The 18,225-nt window shown below is 43.5% G+C and overlaps 3 protein-coding genes across 31 annotated transcripts in view, besides 2 other annotated features; 1 reads left to right on the forward strand and 2 right to left on the reverse strand.

The window, feature by feature from the left end:
• PTPN21 (protein tyrosine phosphatase non-receptor type 21) overlaps positions 1–1,861 on the reverse strand; it is an 89,230-nt gene extending 87,369 nt beyond the window's left edge. Inside the window, exon 1 of the mRNA NM_007039.4 lies at positions 1,505–1,861. The gene's annotated coding sequence lies outside the window, so the exon portion shown is untranslated. The remainder of the gene's footprint in view (positions 1–1,504) is intronic.
• LOC124903405 (proline-rich protein 2-like) lies at positions 1,511–3,644 on the reverse strand. The gene is made up of 2 exons (XM_047432047.1): positions 3,617–3,644; positions 1,511–1,914 (listed from the first exon to the last, which is right to left on the reverse strand). The coding sequence occupies exons 1-2, from the start codon at positions 3,642–3,644 to the stop codon at positions 1,550–1,552; spliced, it is 393 nt and encodes a 130-aa protein (XP_047288003.1). The 3' UTR covers positions 1,511–1,549.
• Positions 1,819–1,868: a silencer, noted in NCBI's record as "silent region_5991". NCBI's record gives its function as "represses an Ori minimal core promoter by ATAC-STARR-seq in GM12878 lymphoblastoid cells {active_cell/tissue: GM12878}" and the evidence as "EXISTENCE:reporter gene assay evidence [ECO:0000049][PMID:35858748]".
• Positions 9,680–10,389: a silencer, noted in NCBI's record as "silent region_5992". NCBI's record gives its function as "represses an Ori minimal core promoter by ATAC-STARR-seq in GM12878 lymphoblastoid cells {active_cell/tissue: GM12878}" and the evidence as "EXISTENCE:reporter gene assay evidence [ECO:0000049][PMID:35858748]".
• Positions 9,891–18,225, forward strand: part of ZC3H14 (zinc finger CCCH-type containing 14) — a 64,560-nt gene continuing 56,225 nt past the window's right edge. For 15 of the 29 annotated variants that reach the window (NR_136936.2, NM_024824.5, NM_001160103.2 and 12 more), the window contains exons 1-4: positions 9,891–10,023; positions 10,505–10,547; positions 14,893–15,007; positions 17,938–17,978. Coding sequence is in view for 20 of the 29 variants with exons in the window: in NM_024824.5 (NP_079100.2) it covers positions 9,988–10,023; positions 10,505–10,547; positions 14,893–15,007; positions 17,938–17,978 (235 nt within the window). In the remaining 9 variants the exon portion in view is untranslated. Of the gene's footprint in view, positions 10,024–10,200; positions 10,310–10,504; positions 10,548–14,711; positions 15,008–17,937; positions 17,979–18,225 lie in introns of those variants that run through there. The other 14 variants (NM_001326300.2, NM_001326302.2, NM_001326308.2 and 11 more) reach the window with 3 other exon arrangements.

Here is an 18,225-nt window from a genome sequence, read left to right on the forward strand (position 1 = left end):
AGTAAAACTTTCAATTGTCCCTCAGACTTGAAATGTATTACTGCATCAGGGATAAAGGAAAAGTCAAAATTATCTCTTATTTTGGTAGATGAAATTGAAAAAGTTGCAGTGTGTGTGTACATGGTGCATCCCCCCAAGATCTATCCATAAGAATGGCTTGCTTTTTGCTTATTTATATAAAACCCACTATGTTAAAACAATGATTTTGTTTAATAATTTACAAATTTATCAATGATTTATACATCTTAATTTTCAGTAATATGCAGTATTTGTTGCCAAATGGTGTAATACAATTATGAATGTCTGAAGATAATAAAACCAAGATGAGTAGAAATTTAAGAGTTCTTTGGGGAGGTCTGTTTCAGGTATAAAATAATATGCAATAATATGAAAGTGATTGGGTCTGGAATTATAATTTACTAAAGTAAACATAATTTATAAATAGCTATTAAAGGAAAACTAGGATATAATTTTTTCTCTACAAAATCTTTCCGTTTTGTGGTAAGTAAACAGATACATACTAGATTCTGCTTCAGTACAAGTTTACAAAAGGCAGTCTGAACTATTTGTGAATTCATTTTAATTTTCCCTCTCTACAACCCTTTCCAAAAGTTCCTCAAATACACTTTACCTCTCAATCTTACAGCGTTTCCCCTTTCCTATTAAGGTCCTTACCACATGTAATTTTGCCAAAGTTGCTTTAAAATAAAATAAGCACTAAAAGGAGAGAGTATGTGACATTTTTAGAGTAATATCTATAGCTATAGCATTAAACCCATGTTTCTCACGGAGAAAACATCTGTGCGTAGATGCTCCAGAATAAAATGCCCTAGAAACGAAACGGACTATATTCAGAGTAAAATTACTGTCGTGTCCCAAACTTAAAAAAATAAATAAACTGTCAGCAACTATTAGGCATACAGCAGTTGTCACTTGGAGCACACGAATGTTCTGAATGTGTTTGTGAGCATACGCTATTAGTATAAGGCTTTCTCAGCAAAAAAGAAAATAGGACGAGCATGCCAAGAGCGGCCAATCTAATCAGGATTTGCAGAAATCACAAGTCGGAATTTGCAGATCCAAGAATTCTTGTTTCCAGAGTAAATACTCTACTCCAAAAACAAACCCAGGCGTTACCAAACAGTCCTTCCCTGCGCCCCTTCTCGCCAAAGTTATCTGGCGAATTTCACGTTTATATATTCTGAGAGGCACAAATATGCCTAACACATTTAAAACCCTGATCCAGAATTAACCCGCAACAATCGGCCAGGGCGTTCGGAATAGAAGTTCAAGACTCCTTTTAGAAATTACTCAAGTATATGAGAGCGAACCTGAAAAACAAGACTTTTCTCTTTGTTACGCTCCCGCTACGGGTCTGGCCGCCGCGCCCCATTCTCCGGGATTCCGGGGCCGCGGGCGCGCTCCGGGGTCCGGGCGAGTGGACACACCCCACCGCTCGGGCCAGCCGCCCGCCCCTCCCGCCGGCCGGGGACCGCGCCCTCACCTGCTCCCGCTCCCGCTCCCGCATCCTCGGGGCCGCGCGCCCCGCTCAGCGACCCGCCTCCCGGGGCCCCGCCGCGCGGCCGCCGCAGCCGCACCCGCACGCCAGCCCGGGCCGCGGCGCGCTCATGGGGCTCGCACGCCTCACTTCCTGTCTCCAAAAACCCGGCTCGCAGACCATTCCCCTGGGCAGAGTCCGGCGGTGGCGACGGCGAGGGGCGAGGCCTGGAGGTGGGACCGGCCGGCGAGGAGCGCCGCACAAAGAAGCCCCGTGGGGGCGGGGGGTGGCAGGAGGACGGACAGACCGTCGGACCGACGCGGGACGCGCGGCCGGAGCAGCGGGGCGGCCGGGCCCAGGCGTCCCTCCCCCTGAGCCGGGCGGGCGGATCCGGGGAGGCGGCGGCGGCCCGTGACCTCAGAGAGTTGGAATGCGGGCAGCCGCGCGGGGGAGGCGCGGACAGCTGCGCCCGGCCGCCGGGGAGGGGGCGCGCCGCTGCTTTTTTTAATCGTATGACCACTTATTTTAAGAGTTTCCAAATAAAGCAAGGCTTTTAATAAAATGAGTGGAGGGGGTATTATTTAGGTTCCAGATAAAGGGTTTTATTCCTGTGTTATTAGGTAGGCTGTAAAATGCTGTTATTGATGGTTATTCGTTTACTCTGGTATATTTCTGAACACTATTGGAATACATTTCTTCTTTTCCTGCTTGCTCCTAAGGTTATGCCCCATATAACTAGACACTTCCAGTACTGGGTGGGAAAGCCCCCCCACCAAAAATGGTTCATATGCCTCAAATAACCTGTCAGTCCCCAAAAGGGAGCTGTCTGCTTATGCAATATAGAGCAGAACTGTTAAGGATGGAGACTTGACAAAGTTGTCAAATCCCAGCTCCAACATTTACTAGCTGGATGACCTTGTGCAAGTTTCTTAACTTCTCTTTACCTGTTTCCTCTCCTATAAAAGAGGGATATTAATATCTTTGCACAGCAGGGGTGGGGGAAATAAATACTAAGCAATATCCAATAACTTGTGTAAAGTATATATGAAGTGTTTCGTTTAAGGTTTATTATACAGTATTCTTGTACTGCATTATTACTGTATTGCAGCACTTAAGCTGAGGAATAAAACTGTGTGACCCTACCACTATTACAATAGTGTAAGATCTTTTCTTGGCATGTGGAACACAGAACCTTTTAATTTATGTAAATTTTAATTTCAGTGATTTTGTTTTAATGCTGTTGTTTCTGGAAAGCTTTTTAAAGTATTGTTTCATGTAAATCTCATTTTCTTAAACAATTAACAAAAACTTTTGAATACTTAACTCTGCATGAGACGTGGTCCCTGCACAACACGGACTTTTGGTTTAGTGGGTGATAAACGCACCTGCACACCACACACGCAGTACAAGGCCAAAGTGGGGAGCATTGTCATAGAGGTATGAGTGCTATCCAAGAGCAAAGCCCAGCAAGGTGCATCTTGGGTCGTTTAGCTAAAGGCAAATAAGATTACCTGTGTTTCTAAGGGAAAAAAAATAGATCAATTCTGTTTGTAATTGATATTTCAACTGAACTCTATGAGGGGGTCAATTTGTGTGTGAGCAAAGAAAAGAGATCTAAAAAGAAGTCACTTTGCTGGCTTCCCAAGGTAGAAAAACTGGAATCATGTGTGACTTCTCCCATTATCATCTCCAGCCTGTCATCAAGACCTGGTATTTCCTCCTTTGAAATGTCTCATGAATTCTTTGTTTCCTTTCTGTTCCCCCTGGAACATTCTAAATCCAAACCCTCATCATTTTACATCCGGATTATTGCAACAAGGGTGGTCTCCTGGCATCTGGTTTCTCAGTTCTCTCTTATTTCCTTGCTAATACCAGGCTTCCTTCTCTTATCACTCTTAATGGACTCCCAAGGTTAAGTTCTTCTGCCTGACCTATAGGGACTTTCCAAACGGGCCTCTCTGACCACCTATATCGCTTTCTGCCCCTGTCAAGCTTTGCCCCTGGCCAGCAGCCCCTCCTGCCCTCTTTCCACTTGTCTAAGCCTTCTGCTTCTCTGCAAGTAAGACTCTGCTTCCAGGATGACTTTCTAGCCACACCATTCCACAGTGATCTCCACACTTGGCAAGAACTGTAAAAGTTGTTTCATGACGGCTTCTTTTATATCTCCTAGGATTCCTAGGACAGTACTGGGCAAAGAGTAGGCACTAAATAAAAACTTGTTAATTGAATCAGGAAGAAAATAAAAGAATTTTAAAAATAGAAAATGACCATAAAACCCAAGAGATGTTAGACAACTGAGTTGAACTTCCTCCCTCACAGTCCACAGATGTCATTTACTGACCAAGTACCTAAGCCCTATTTTCCCTCAGCTATGTTAATTTGGCAGGAACATTCATGGGAAGGCACTTGAATAACACCTTCAAAATATTAGACATAAAATTATTAGCTTGTGTTGCATATCTAAGGAAGTGAGATAATTTATATGGTGCCACCCCCAAAGATACAAAAGGGTGTAAGTAAAAAGTCCCCTTCTCACCCTGCCTGCTAGACACCCAGCTCTTCTCCTGGGAGGTAACCAGTGTTCCCTCATTCCTCTGTATCCTTACAAAGATGTTCTGCAGAGTTACAAGAAACTACATATAAGTATCTTTACCCCCTCTTGTTATCCAGAAGGTGGCATACTTACACATACTTTTACACTGGAAGTTATTTCTTACTAAAATAAATAAAATGTAAAAAGAAAGCCCAGCACATAAAATGATGAAAGACAAAAAGATGAAAGAAGGCTGGGTGCAGTAGCTTATGCCTGTAATTCCAGCACTTTGGGAAGCCTAGGAGGGCAGATCAGCTGAGGTCAGGATTTCGAGATCAGCCTAGCCAACATGAAGAAACCCCGTCTCTACTAAAAATACAAAAATTAGCTGGGCGTGGTAGAGCATGCCTGTAGTCCCAGCTACTGGGGAGGTTGAGGCATGAGAATCGCTTGAGCCCAGGAGGCACAGGTTGTGGCGAGCCAAGATCACGCCACTGCACTCCAGACTGTGTGACAGAGCAAGACTCTGTCTCAAAAAAAAAAAAAAAAAAGGAAAGGAAATTGTGGTTTGGTGGGTGCACTGACTAGTGTTTTCTTAGAAGTTCAAAAGTTAATCTGTTTTGATAGCATGGTGAATACCCACCGTATAAATTATCATCATCTGCAAAAATCCAAATTGAATGAATGCCCTGCCACGCAAAGATAATGATTCCTGTCTGGGCGCGGTGGCTCACGCCTGTAATCCCAGCACTTTGGGAGGCCGAGGCGGGTGGATCACGAGGTCAGGAGTTCGGAACCAGCCTGGCCAATATGGTGAAACCCCGTCTCTACTAAAAAAATACAAAAATTACGCCCGGCACGGTGACTCACGCCTGTAATTCCAGCACTTTGAGAGGTCAAGGTGGGCAGATCACAAGGTCAGGAGATTGAGACCATGCTGGCTAACACGGTGAAACCCCATCTCTACTAAAAATATAAAAAATTAGCCAGGCATGGTGGTGGGCACCTGTAGTCCCAGCTACTTGGGAGGCTGAGGCAAGAGAATGGCGTGAACCCGGGAGGCGGAGCTTGCAGTGAGCCGAGATCGCATAACTGCACTCCAGCCTGGGCGACAGAGCGAGACTCCGTCTCAAAAAAAAAATTAGCCGGGCAGGTGGCACACGCCTGTAGTCCCAGCTACTCAGGAGGCTGAGGCAGGAGAATCGCTTGAACCCAGTAGGCGGAGATTGCAGTGAGCCGAGATCGCACCACTGCACTCCAGCGTGGGTGATAGAGTGAGACGCTGTCTCAAAAAAAAAAAAAAAAGATGATCCCTGAGGAAGGGGACAGTGAGGGCTAGAACTAGAAATGTGTGGCCAGGCGCGGTGGCTCACGCCTGTAATCCCAGCACTTTGGGAGGCCGAGGCGGGCGGATCACGAGGTCAGGAGTTCGAGACCAGCCTGGCCAACGTGATGAAACCCTGTCTCTACTAAAAATACAAAATTTAGCCGGGTGTGGTGGAGGGCGCCTGTAGTCCCAGCTACTTGGGAGGCTGAGGCAGGAGAATCGCTTGAACCCGGGAGATGGAGGTTGCAGTGTGCCGAGATCGCGCCATTGCACTCCAGCCTGGGGGACAAGCGCCAGACTCCGTCTCAAAAAAAAAAAAAAAAAAAAATAGAAATGTGAAGTCTTCGGTCTCTGAATCTGCACCTTAAGTTCTGCCTACCACACTCAATACTGTGTCACATGCAACACCTTTTCAGTTGCAAAAGAGCAACCATTTTATGGATAGATTCCCCTGGACATCAGAGAAATGATTATCTTGGCAGTGTGTTTGTTGAAATGGAGAAGCATGTCTGCCTCAGTAGCAAGTGACTGCTGTGACTGTAATTCCCAACACTTAGGGCTTTTGATCCAAGTATGTCTATGCCATGTGATAATCACTATTGGAAAACACTTGTCCATTCAGCCCACATATATTTAGAAGCCAGGTGCTGCAAGGAGAAAGGTAAATAGATGCATACCCCTGTCCTCAAAGACTCACCATGTGAACAACAGATGAATATGTAATTGTAGTAGGTGAGGAAATTTATACATGGTTATACTTTATAGTCTGAATGGACTGGTAATGTCTCGTTAATCACTGTGATCAGCTTCTGCTTGAGTCTGGAAAAGCAGACTCAAAAGGCTGACAAAAAAAGGTTGACTGAGTACTCAAAGAAAAGCAAAGCTTTGGGCCTGGCACGGTGGCTCACACCCAGCACTTTGGGAGGTCGAGGTAGGCGGATCATGAGGTCAAGAGAGCAAGGCCATCCTGGCCAACGTGGTGAAACCCTGTCTTTACTAAAAATACAAAAATTAGCTGGGTGTGGTGGCACGCGCCTGTAGTCCCAGCCACTCGGGAGGCTGAGGCAGAAGAATCCTTTGAACCCAGGAGATGGAGGTTGCAGTGAGCTGAAATCACGCCACTGCACTCCAGCCTGGCGACAGAGTGAGACTCCATCTCAAAAAAAAAAAAAAAAAAAGAAAGAAAAGCTTTTCAAGCAGGAAGACACCCCCACTCCCACCCCACCTTCCCCCATCCCCTAGTGCTTCTACACACTCACACACGCACACACGTGCAAAGGATGTGCAACATCCAGCTGAAATACAACCTGAGAAGAGATTGCAGACGTGGTTGGGGGGCAATGTTAGAAGACTCATGGCTCCATGGAGATGGGGTTGGTACTCAGCCCTTCTGACTTCAAAGCCAATGCTCTTTTCAGTCATCTTCTCTTTTTGGAAGACAGCCCAGAGCCCTCTTAGCTGGCACTTTGGGTTTGTTGAAATCTGGTCTTCACACTGTCCCCTAGAGGAAAACATGTTGTTTCCCCTAAATCAGAGAACATTTCCAAGCTGGGAAAAAAAAAAAAATACTGTCCAGTATAGTCTTTTTCAAGCCTAGCACTCCTACTCCCTCTAATGGCTTCTCTTAGGGCATTATCATGAACATCTTCTTCGAGATGTGATGTAGTTTGTGAAGCTGCAGTTTACAGGGAAGTGCCTGGAACTGCACTGGAACACCAAATGAACCATTGGTTTAGTGGGTTTGCCCCTCCTGTGATCGAGACATCATAACATCTTAGATCTAAATGTGGGAGGTCTCAAGCAGCCTTTCAGTCTCTTTTCCACAGTTGTCCTAAAAGTTAGCTCATGGTCCTAAAAGTTAACGCTTTCTTGAATATATTTTAATAAGTTTCCCTACTCTGAATATGTTTTAATGAAAACATTACTTTTTATTAAATGTTATTCTCAATATTATGTTAATATTGACTGAGAATTGGGTACCCAGTAATGGTAAAACATGTTTTTGTTCTTAGTTCTGAAATGGCTGGTAAAGGAATAAAAGTAATTCATCTGTCTTTTGTATTGTGAGTGTCATGAAAGCAGGGAGTTGGTCTTGCTCCTCTTTGTGCTCTGGCTCCTACCACTGTATCCCAGTGCAGGTACTTAATTTTTAATCAGCAAGCATAGTACTGCTATAAGCCAGGCACAGTTCAATATACTTCACAAATATTAACTTATTTCATCCTTATAGTAACCCTTTGCAGGTGAAACTAGTATACCTATATCACAGATAAGGAAACTGAGGCACAGAGATGAGAAGCAATTTGCCGAAGGTCTCAGAGGGAGTGGCAGAGCCAGGATTCAGACCCAGACGGTCTGGCTGCAGTGCCCTTGTTCTGTGTCATTCTGCTCTGCTGCCTGTCATCAATGCTGAATGAGTGTATGATCACTGGATTTATCCTTGAGGAATGCTTTTGTAAATTAGGTCTTTAATTTCTTTTACCCTATTAATATTTAATGAGTGCTTACTATGTGTCCAGCATCCTGAAAGGTTGGAGAAATATAAAGCCCTACAGAGAGTTTATAATTTTGTTAGGGAAGACACACACACACACACGAAATAACATTGCACAGAATATATTATTATACTAATAGCTTCCATATAGATGCCATAGGAATTCACAAGAAAGGATTATATGAGATTATTAAAGGACCACGTGACAGACCCTAGGTAGCCCCACAACTCCTGCTTCTGCTGTCCCCACAACCCACTCCTGACCCCTAGTGTGGATTGCTTAGGTAATAAACATGGCAAAAATAAGAGGTTTGGCAGATGTAATTGAGGTCGTGAATCAGCTGATTTTGGGGTCAGGTCCTGGGTGGGCCTAACTTAATTAAATGAAAGCCCTTGGCTGGTCTCAAACTTCTGGTCTCAAGTGATCCTCCCACCTCTACTTCACTGAGCTGAAATTACAGGCATGAGCCACTGTGCCTGGCTTTTACTGGCGTAAGTGAACAGACATGTTAGTGAACCCTTTGGCAAAGAACTGTGGGCAGCCTCTAGGACTTGAGAGTGGCTTCCAGATGATAGCCAGAAAAAAATCTGGGTCCTTACTCATAAAGCCACAAGGAAATGAATTATTTTTTTTTTTCCTGAGACAGGGTCTCACTCTCTCATCAAGGCTGTAGTGGCATGATCTTGGCTCACTGCAACCTCTGCCTCCCAGGCTCAAGCAATCCTCCCCTCTCGGCTTCCCAACTAGCTGAGACTAGAAGTGCATGCCACCACGCCCAGCTAATTTTTTGTACTTTTGAAGAGACATGTTTTTGCCATGTTGCCCAGGCTGGTCACGAACTCCTGGTCTCAAGTGATCCGCCAGCCTAAGCCTCCCAAACTGCTGGGATTACAGGCATGAGCCACCGCACTCAGCCAGAAATGAATTCTTGCTAACAACCTGAATGAGCCTGAACATAGATTCCTCCTCAGTCAAGCCTCCAGATGAGAATACAGCCTGCCTGACACGATTGTAGCCTTGTGAGACCCTGAGCAGAGGACCCAGTGAGGTTGACCCACGGAAACCATGAGATGATAAACGTTTGTGTTTTAAGCTGCTAAATTTGTGGTCATCTGTTATGCAGCAATGGATAACAGAGACCACTCTCAGGAATTAGTGGATATGAGGGAGAAAGGAGACCTCTCTGTGCTTCCTCTGTTTCCCAGGTTTTGTGATCAGGGATAGGGAGAATTCGGCTATTGATACAAATAGGGGAATCAACAGTAGTAACCTATTGAGTGGAGGAAGGGGAGATGAAGGCGACTTCTGTCTAAGCGCTGAGTTGGGAGAAAATAAGAGTAGTTACTTAGAATTTGGGAGTGGGGTTTGTGTGAGAATTCAAGGCTGATGGAAAATTCGGTCATTATCAGCACAGAGTTGACAACTTAAGTCCTAAGAACAAAAGTGTTGTCCCACGGAGGGTGTTCAGAGAAGCAGGAGGATGGGATTCGTCTCGGGGAGAGGCCACGGGTGGCCCTGGAAGAAGGAAGGCAGAACCAAACCCAGGAGGGCCAGTGTACTGCAGAGTCAAAGAGTTGACGGATTGGCTCTGTTGCTCTGGATAGTCCATTTTCCCTTCAAGGGTAATTGCAGTGCAACCTCTAATGGGCAGACTCCATTTTACAGGTAAGAAAAGTTGAAATACCTGGACCGATACCATACTGACAGTAAGTGAGGGCTGGATTTGAACTCGCGTCTCATATCACAGCCCAAGATCTTTCTGCTACACATTTAATTCATTCTTACCATCCAAGAGAGAATAAAATGAATAAGCGGAGGGCCAGCAGAGAGACTAACGAAAGGTCCCCGAGGTGCCCGGGAGGCGGAGCTGCAAGACCACCCGCACGCGCACGCCGCCGCCCTCCTTGCCTGAGCACAGGTTTCGCGGGTAGAAGGCGTGCGCAGGCGCGGACACGGGCGCATGCGCGTTCACTCCGGCGCGCAGTGCCGGCCGGGGCGGGGATACGCCGTGTGCGCGGCCGGGGGCGGAACGGAGGAGGAGGCGGTGGTGTCCCGGCTGCGGGGTAGGAGTCCGCGGCAGCCTCCGGGTAAGCCAAGCGCCGCGCAGTGCTGAGTTCCCGCACGCCGCAGAGCCATGGAGATCGGCACCGAGATCAGCCGCAAGATCCGGGTGAGGCCCGTGCCGGTCGGGGGTGGGAAGCCAGGTCTCGGCGAGCGGGCGGTTGTCAGGAGTAACGGGGACTGTGGGCCCGGGTGGACGCCGCGGCCTGGCCTCCGCTGGACGCTCCTGGCGGGCTGCGGCTCCTCCTCGTCCAGGCCGCCTCGGCCCTGGGGACATTTGCGGCCTCGGAGCGTGGCTGCGGCTGAAGTAGCCGCCGGGAAATGGAAGGACAGGCGCAGGCCCGGCTGGAGCCACCACCGCGGCGCACGGCGCCGCTTTGGATCCGCTGCGGGAGGTGGGCGCCGCGGGGCTGGGGCTGGAGCTGGAGTGGGGTGCGGGGTGGGGGGCGGTGCAGGCGAGGCTCCTCCCAGCCCCCGCCCGGGGGATCCGAGGTGCGCGCACCAGCAAAGTGGCCTCAGCCGCTGCAGAGTCCGGTCTTGTTTTCCTAGAGCCGCCTTTCTCACATGCACGTTTGCTCTTTTTCTCTCAGAGTGCCATTAAGGGGAAATTACAAGAATTAGGAGCTTATGTTGGTAAGTGTTTTTTTGGTTGTTAGTCTTACAGAATTTAGAGTTTGCAGCTAATAGAATTTTAGTGAATGCGTATTTCTCACCGTACTTTGGACATTGGGAGAGACTCCCTTCTACCTTCTTCAAATCTTATACTCCCTGGTTACTTCTTTATCATCTTTTTGCAACCTTGTTTTTTTTCTCCCAAACCTCCTTCTGTTATGGTGTTTTGAAATTTAGTTTCCTCCGTTAAGGCTCTGTTTGACCGAATTTTATTTTATGTTTTTCCTATTCTCTCTCTCTCTCATTTTAAATTCTAGGGACGGGTCTCGCTACGTTGCCCAGGCTGGTCTTAACTCCTGGGCTCAAGCAATTATCTGACCTTAGCCTCCCTAGGTGCTGGGAGTGCGGGGATTACTGGTGTGAGCCACCATGCCTGTTTAAAGTTTCCTATTCTTGTTACTTTCCTCTTGACATTTGTTTTTAGAACTCTGATGTTGGATGTGAATGTTTGATGCTTTCTGGCATTTGCTTCTGTAATGGTTCAGTGAGTTTTATTTTCCGATCTCTTTATGTTTTCCCTCTCTCTCTGAAACAGTAAGGCTTTTTCCGTCTCTTTATTCTTTTATAATTTGAGTGTTTACTCTGGGTCAGGTACTGTGCTTAACTATTGTATATGTATTAACTCAGGATAATCCCTACGAGAATCCTGGAAGGTAAGTGGCAGTATCTTTGACTGTGTAAACAAGGAAACTGAGGCTTTGCCTACTTGAGCAAGGTTTTATGGTTTGCCCCCAAAGCTGGTGCCTCCTATAAAAATAATAGCTACCACTAATGACAGTGGTTCTCAAAGTGTGGGAGACTCCAAGGGCCTCTGAAGTCAAAACTGTTTTCATATTAATACTAAGATGGTATTTGTTATTTTTCACTGTGGTGGTGGTGTTTGGATTGTGTAAAACTAATGGTTGATAAAACTTGTCAGCATAGTAACACCATAATGAAATCATATTCAAATCACTCCCCCCTTGTAGTTTTTTTCTTTTTGAGCCAATTACACTTAAAATGTCATTGATGAAGATGTGAAGTCCAGGGTTTACAAAATATTTTTTATCTTCTTAGTATTCAGTGCGAGGAAATAGAAATGCTCATAAAACATTTTTATTGTATACTGAAATACGATTGTTCTGAGGAAAATCATTTTAGTTGAGAACTAAGCTAGCCACCTCTTTCAGGGAACATCATTTTTAACTTCAAAGTACTGACAAACTGGTTACATACACTAGGATATTTGGCAGATATTTACTTGAAAGTGAGCAAAGAAAAGAATCCATAGTCTTTGTTGCCAATCACATGTGAGCTTTCAAATGAAAATTAGAATTTTGGAAAATCTGAGCCTGCCTCCATGAATTTCACAGCTTCCCAGTACTTAAAAAATTTCTGATTAAATAAATGGTGATTTAAAAAAAATTTGTTATTATTATTATTTTTTTTGAGATGGAATTTCACTCGTTGCCCAGGCTGGAGTGCAGTGGCGTGATCTTGGCTCACTGCAAGCTCTGCCTCCCGGGTTCAAGCGATTCTTTTGCCTCAGCCTCCCGAGTAGCTGGGATTACAGGCATCTGCCACTACACCCAGCTAATTTTTTGTATTTTTAGTAGAGACAGGGTTTCACCATGTTGGCCAGGCTGGTCTCAAACTCCTGACCTTGTGATTCGCGTGCCTCAGCCTCCCAAAGTGCTGGGATTACAGGTGTCAGCCACTGCATCCGGCCAACTCAATGGCGATATTAAAAAATAATTATTTTATACTGCATAATGAAATATATCAACGTGTCAGTGGTTTTTGTAGCTAAGTGAACCAATCTTTTCTAAATAACCAATGCATAATATTACAAAATTATGCAGTGGATTAAAGATTTATTTAAACTCTGGGGTGGGTCAGTGGATTTTTGTGCAACAGTTCAAAAAGGTCATTGACGTATTTGACATTCCACGTTGCTTTAACATTTAATAAGCTACCACTTGTTTAGTTTTGGTGTAGTGTCACAGAAGAATATCCACCTTATCTGAAAAGACTATCAGAATACTCCTTTTTCAACTGCATATCTGTGAGACCAGATTTTTTCATATTCTTCAGTCATAAGCACATAGAACAAGATATATAAAAATATGAAACAAGGCCAGTCTTTGCAGTAAATTTTTCTTTTTCTTTTTTTTGAGATGGGGTCTCACTCTGTGGTTCGGGCTGGAGTGCAGTGGTGCAATCTTGGCTCACTGCAACCTCCGCCTCCCAGGTTCAAGCAATTCTCCTGCCTCAGCTTCCCGAGTAGCTGGGATTACAGGCACCTGCCACCACCCCGCCCCCCCCCCCCGGCTAATTTTTGTGTTTTTAGTGGAGACGGTGTTTCACCATGTTGGCCAGGCTGATCTCGAACTCCTGACCTTAGGTGATCCACTTGTCTCAGCCTCCCAGAGTGCTGGGATTACAGGTGTGAGCCACTGTGCCTTGCCTAAATTTTTTTTTGGAAAATTTAATAATGTTACTTGTGTTAATATAATTGGATTTGTGATTAACATGTGATGGATTTATTTTTTAATGAATTAATAAATACTTTTTAATTAAAAATGATCAGTTCTAATTTTGAACACCATAAATAATAGAACCTGCATAAACCAAAGAAGGGGCCCAAGACCAAACAGTTTGAGAATTGGTAATTTATGGAGTACTTACCACCATTTGCTGGGCACTTTCATAAACGATTTGTTGTCAGGATTGTTGGAAGACTAACAGATGAGAGAATTGAGGCTCAGAGAAAATAAAGCTGAACCAAGATTTATTTATTCTTTTATTCTTTCAACACTTGAACTGCATTTTTTATAGTTTTCTTTGAAACAAAAAAAGTACTTCTGAAATGAACCTTTCTGCCTGCATAGAAATATTACAAGTATTTAAGGTATTAAAGAAATTTGTCACAGCATGGTGGTTCACGCCTGTAATCACAGCACTTTGGGAGGCCGAGGTGGGTGGATCACTTGAGGTCAGGAGTTCGAGACCAGCCTAGTCAACATGCTGAAACCTGGTGTCTACTAAAAATACAAACATTAGCTGGGTGTGGTGGCAGGTGCCTGTAATCCCAGCTACTCGGGAGGCTGAGGCAGGAGAATCGCTTGAACCCAGGAAGCAGAGCTTGCAGTGAGCCGAGATTGTGCCACTACACTCCAACCTGGGAGACAGAGCAAGACTCTGTCGTAAAAGAAAAAAAAAAAAAAGAGAACTGGAATGGAGTTTTGAGGGTCAGAGATTAGAGTTCCTGATAACAGCTTTTGCTTCCTTATCTTCTTAGTGAGGTTTTTGTTTTTTTGTTCTTTTAAATCCTAGACCTCACTCTCATAATCACTGTAGGATTACCACTAGGAGGGTGTTTTTTGGCTTCTTTTATTTATTTTATTTATTTATTTTTTTTTGAGACAGAGTCTTGCTCTGTTGCCCAGGCTGGAGTGCAGTGGCAGGATCTGAGCGCACTGCAAGCTCCGCCTCCTGGGTTCACACCATTCTCCTGCCTCGGCCTCCCGAGTAGCTGAGACTATAGGCGCTCACCACCACACCCGGCTAATTTTTTGTATTTTTAGTAGAGACAGGGTTTCACTGTGTTAGCCAGGATGGTCTCAATCTCCTAACCTTGTGATCTGCCCACCTTGGCCTCCCAAAGTGCTGGGATTACAGGCATGAGCCACCGCGCCTGGCCTTTTTTCTTTTTTTTTTTTTTTTATCCTAGACCTCACCCTTATAATCATTGTAGGATTACCACTGTGAGGGTAAAACCGTGCATTGAGTTGACATTATTTAATGTTAAAATTGATTTTTTTAAATGATGTGGAGCTTTTGGGTCTATTTGTTTATTCGATGTTGCTACAAGTTTGTTACTGTGAGTAATTGAAACCTGCCTTTAGCAAGGGTAAAGATGTTCACTTGAGAAATGAGTGTTATTTTGAAACTTTGCAAATTAAAACTAAACAAAACTCAATTCTTTTTCTTGGGGAATGTTCAAATATTTCCCATAAGCTTCTTTGAAATTAATAAGCATTATTAAAAAGATTCAAGGAAGTGAATGCATGCTCAAGTTTGACCCTATAATTCAGAATGTTTAGTTTTGTAAGTATCAATTATTCTTAATTTCCATTCTTCTAGTATTTGAAATACCTGTGGAATGAAGAGAAAAAAATTAAAGCTAAGCCATCTTGTCCAATGTAATTCCAGTAGAGCTCTGCGACTCTAAAGCTTAGAGCTACATCTATATTTTCAAGCACATCAACTTTAAGAAGAAAGTTTTGAGGAAACAAAGTTTTGATCTACCTTTCCTTTTAAATAGATGAAGAACTTCCTGATTACATTATGGTGATGGTGGCCAACAAGAAAAGTCAGGACCAAATGACAGAGGATCTGTCCCTGTTTCTAGGGAACAACACAATTCGATTCACCGTATGGTATGTTTCTGAATTTTTGTGCCTCAGACCAAAGTTTGGCACAAGCCTGAGTTGATATTCTGTCCAAAGAGAGGTTCTTGACACTTGAGTTAGGTTTACTTTGGAGAGGCAGTTTGTGAGTGATGAGAGCACAGCCTCTGTATTAGTCCATTTTCACAGTGCTATGAAGAAATACCCGAGACTGGGTAATTTCTAAAAGAAAGAGGTTTAATTGACTCAGAGTTCCACATGGCTGGGGAGGCCCCAGGAAGGGGAAGCAAGCACCTTCTTCACAAGTCGACAGGAAAGAGAAGAGTGAAGGAGGAACTTCCAGAGACTTATATAAAATCATCAGATCTTGTGAGAACTCACTGTCTCTTGAGAACTCGGGAACTCACTGTCTCTTGAGAACTCACTATCATGAGAACATCATGGGGGAAACCACCCCCATGACCCAGTCACCTCCCTCCCTTGACAGGTGGGGATTACAATTCAATATAAGATTTGGGTGGGGACACAGAGCCAAACCTTATCAGCCTCTGAAGCCAGACAGCCAAAGTTGAATCCTGGCTGTGTCTTGCCTTGGTTTCTCTAGCTATAAAATGGAAATAGTACAGCCACTTGCTTTATAAAATTATTATTGAGGATCAAATGGGCTAATATGTGTAAAGTACTTATAGGTGTCCCTAGCATTTTCCTAAGGAATTCTTAGTATATGTCGGCTATACTTAATATGTTTCTTTTGTAAACTTCTATATCTTTTTTTTTGAGACAGGGTCTTGCTCTGTCACCAGGCTGGAGCACAGTGGTACAATCATGGCTCGCTGCAGCCTCGATCTCCTGGTTTCAAGTGATCATCCCATTGCAGTCCCCTCCTTCCTGAACTCCCATGCCTGACTAATTTTTAAATTTTTTGTTCAGACAGGGTCTTAGTATGTTGCCCTGGATGCTCTTGAACTCCTGGGCTCAAGCAGTCCTCCTGCCTTGGCCTTCAGAAGTCTTGGGGTTATAGGTATGAGCCACTGCACCTGGCCAGCTTCTGTATCTTATAGTTCCTTTTCCCCCACCAAAACCAGTTACAGATGTTTTTTTGAACTGGGTTGGCTTCTTACATTGCCTTTTACAATGAGTTACCTTTAGAGGGCAAGGTTTTCTGTTTCTCACTTTTCTGTTTCTTACTTTTTAAGCTTTTTGTTAAACTCACACCTTCATTTTGAGTAATAATTGTAGTGTAATGTTACAGCATATTTTGAGATTATAAGTTTTTTTAAGTTTGGAATTTTAAAATAGGCAACTTTGCTTTTATACATAAATTACTGTTATATGCCTTTAGTTGAGAATACTGACTAGAAGAGTAAGATTCAACTTAAGATGCTAGGTCCTGGTACCAGGTTTGAGGTAAAGTGAGGATGAGGGCTGGAGGATAATGATGTAGCTGAGAATAGACAGACGAAATACTTTATTAGGCTTCTCAGGCTAGGAACTACCAGTTACCGTGAAAGGTGATGATGTAGCAGAAGTGAGCAAGTGGCCTGCCGAATTTGAGTGCAAGAGGAGGCACTGAGTGGGGAGATGAGCCTGGTTAAGTTCTTGCCTTTATACCAAAGGTCGTCTTCAAGGTGTTTTTGCCCAAGTAGGCAACTGTATGCTTATCAACCGTCTTGAAATTCTGCACAGAATTCTCTGGGTTTATACATTGCACAAATTTGAAGAACATTGTATAGTGGTCATCAGTTGTTATGATACACTGCTGCCTCACTGTGGGTGACCCAACCCATTTGTTACAATTTGTCCCCAGAGGTTATTCCCTCCCAGCCCCCCACAAAAAAAGACTGTGGGTCTTTTGACTGGGAAAATTACCATTATTGTGAGTACTATTTTTTTTTCTAAAGCGACCGAGTAGATCCTTTTCTCCGATAACTTGATAGAATACTTAGATTTTTAAAACAGACTACCAAATGAATTTAAAACCAAATTAATTCAACATTCTCATCTGGCCATAAATTGAGTTCTTTAACATGTAGTGAAGCAAAGGGTGATGTCCCCATTTTGGCACTTTGCTTTCTTAAGTTAGTGTTCATTAACACCAGCCCCAAACAGACTATTGTGATTATTTGGAGCCTTGAAGTAATTGTGTCCGTGGGGACAGTAGCATGTGACTAGGGTTCTCATTGAAACATGAGGTTTCTGGCATATTTTGAGAGGTACTGGGAAGGGATGTAAGGCAAAGTACCTCATTTATAACTACCAAAACAGGTTATGTTACAAGCAAGATTACAGCCTTACAGCATCAGTTTTGAAAGTAATAGAGTGAAATGATATAGCATAGTTTGAGATTATAACTTGTTTTAACCTCTCAGAATTAAGTTGTCCAAGACACCATCTAGTTTAAGCAGTTAATATAAGCTGCTTAAATGGTGGTAATAATAAGCAATATTACATGTTTATGATACTTGTTTTACTGTAAGCTACAGTAAATCTTTAGTACTTACAAACAGGGTGACATATTTTGTAGACTAAGACTGGTCAGATGATATTCTTTCCCATATTTTTGCAGAGGCTAGATGTTGAAAACAGTGAAGAAAAAAATACAATTTTTTATTGACTTCTGTAGGATTTATACAAAGCCCTTTTTTAAAAATGTGAAGTTTGAAAGTTCATACCATTTATTCACTAAATACAGTTTATCAGTATTTATCTCAGCTAGGTGCGGTGGCTCACGCCCGTAATCTCAACACTTTGGGAGGCTGAGGCAGGTGGTTCTCTCAAGTCCAGGACTTCAAGACCAGCCTGGACAACACAGTGAAACCCCATCTCTATTTAAAAATAATAAAAATATAAAAAAATTTAAAAAATTATCTCTGAATATAATGTCATAAATTTAGAGTGACAGTTGAAATGAAATCTTTCTTAACAGAAGGTTTATTTTTGTTTTTTGTTTTTTTCCTCAGGCTTCATGGTGTATTAGATAAACTTCGCTCTGTTACAACTGGTAAGATTCATAACTTTTTTTTTTAATTTCTGCTTGCTATGGCATATGATTTGTTTCTTTCTAAAGTCATAGTGCTTTGGGAAAAACCCATCAATTTCAAAACGGTTCATTTGAACTTTTTTAGAAAGCACATACTTTTATGAACTTAAGAGCAGTAAATTTAACATAATTCAAAGATAATTTAAGTGTGGGAGAGGGAGCAGTGCACTTTATCCGAAGGAAATAATTACATATATGTGCAAAGATT

The sequence above is a fragment of the Homo sapiens genome, chromosome 14 (assembly GCF_000001405.40).
Source record: "Homo sapiens chromosome 14, GRCh38.p14 Primary Assembly".
Classification (NCBI taxonomy): Eukaryota; Metazoa; Chordata; class Mammalia; order Primates; family Hominidae; genus Homo; species Homo sapiens.

Bases quoted from the DNA above. Each gene is read 5' to 3' on its own strand.
- LOC124903405 (XM_047432047.1), bottom strand. From the start codon at position 3,644: ATGAAACAACTTTTACAGTTCTTGCCAA. The intron at 1,915-3,616 runs GTGTGGAGATCA...CAACTCTCTGAG, and splicing joins ACTTTTACAGTTCTTGCCAA to GTCACGGGCCGCCGCCGCCT.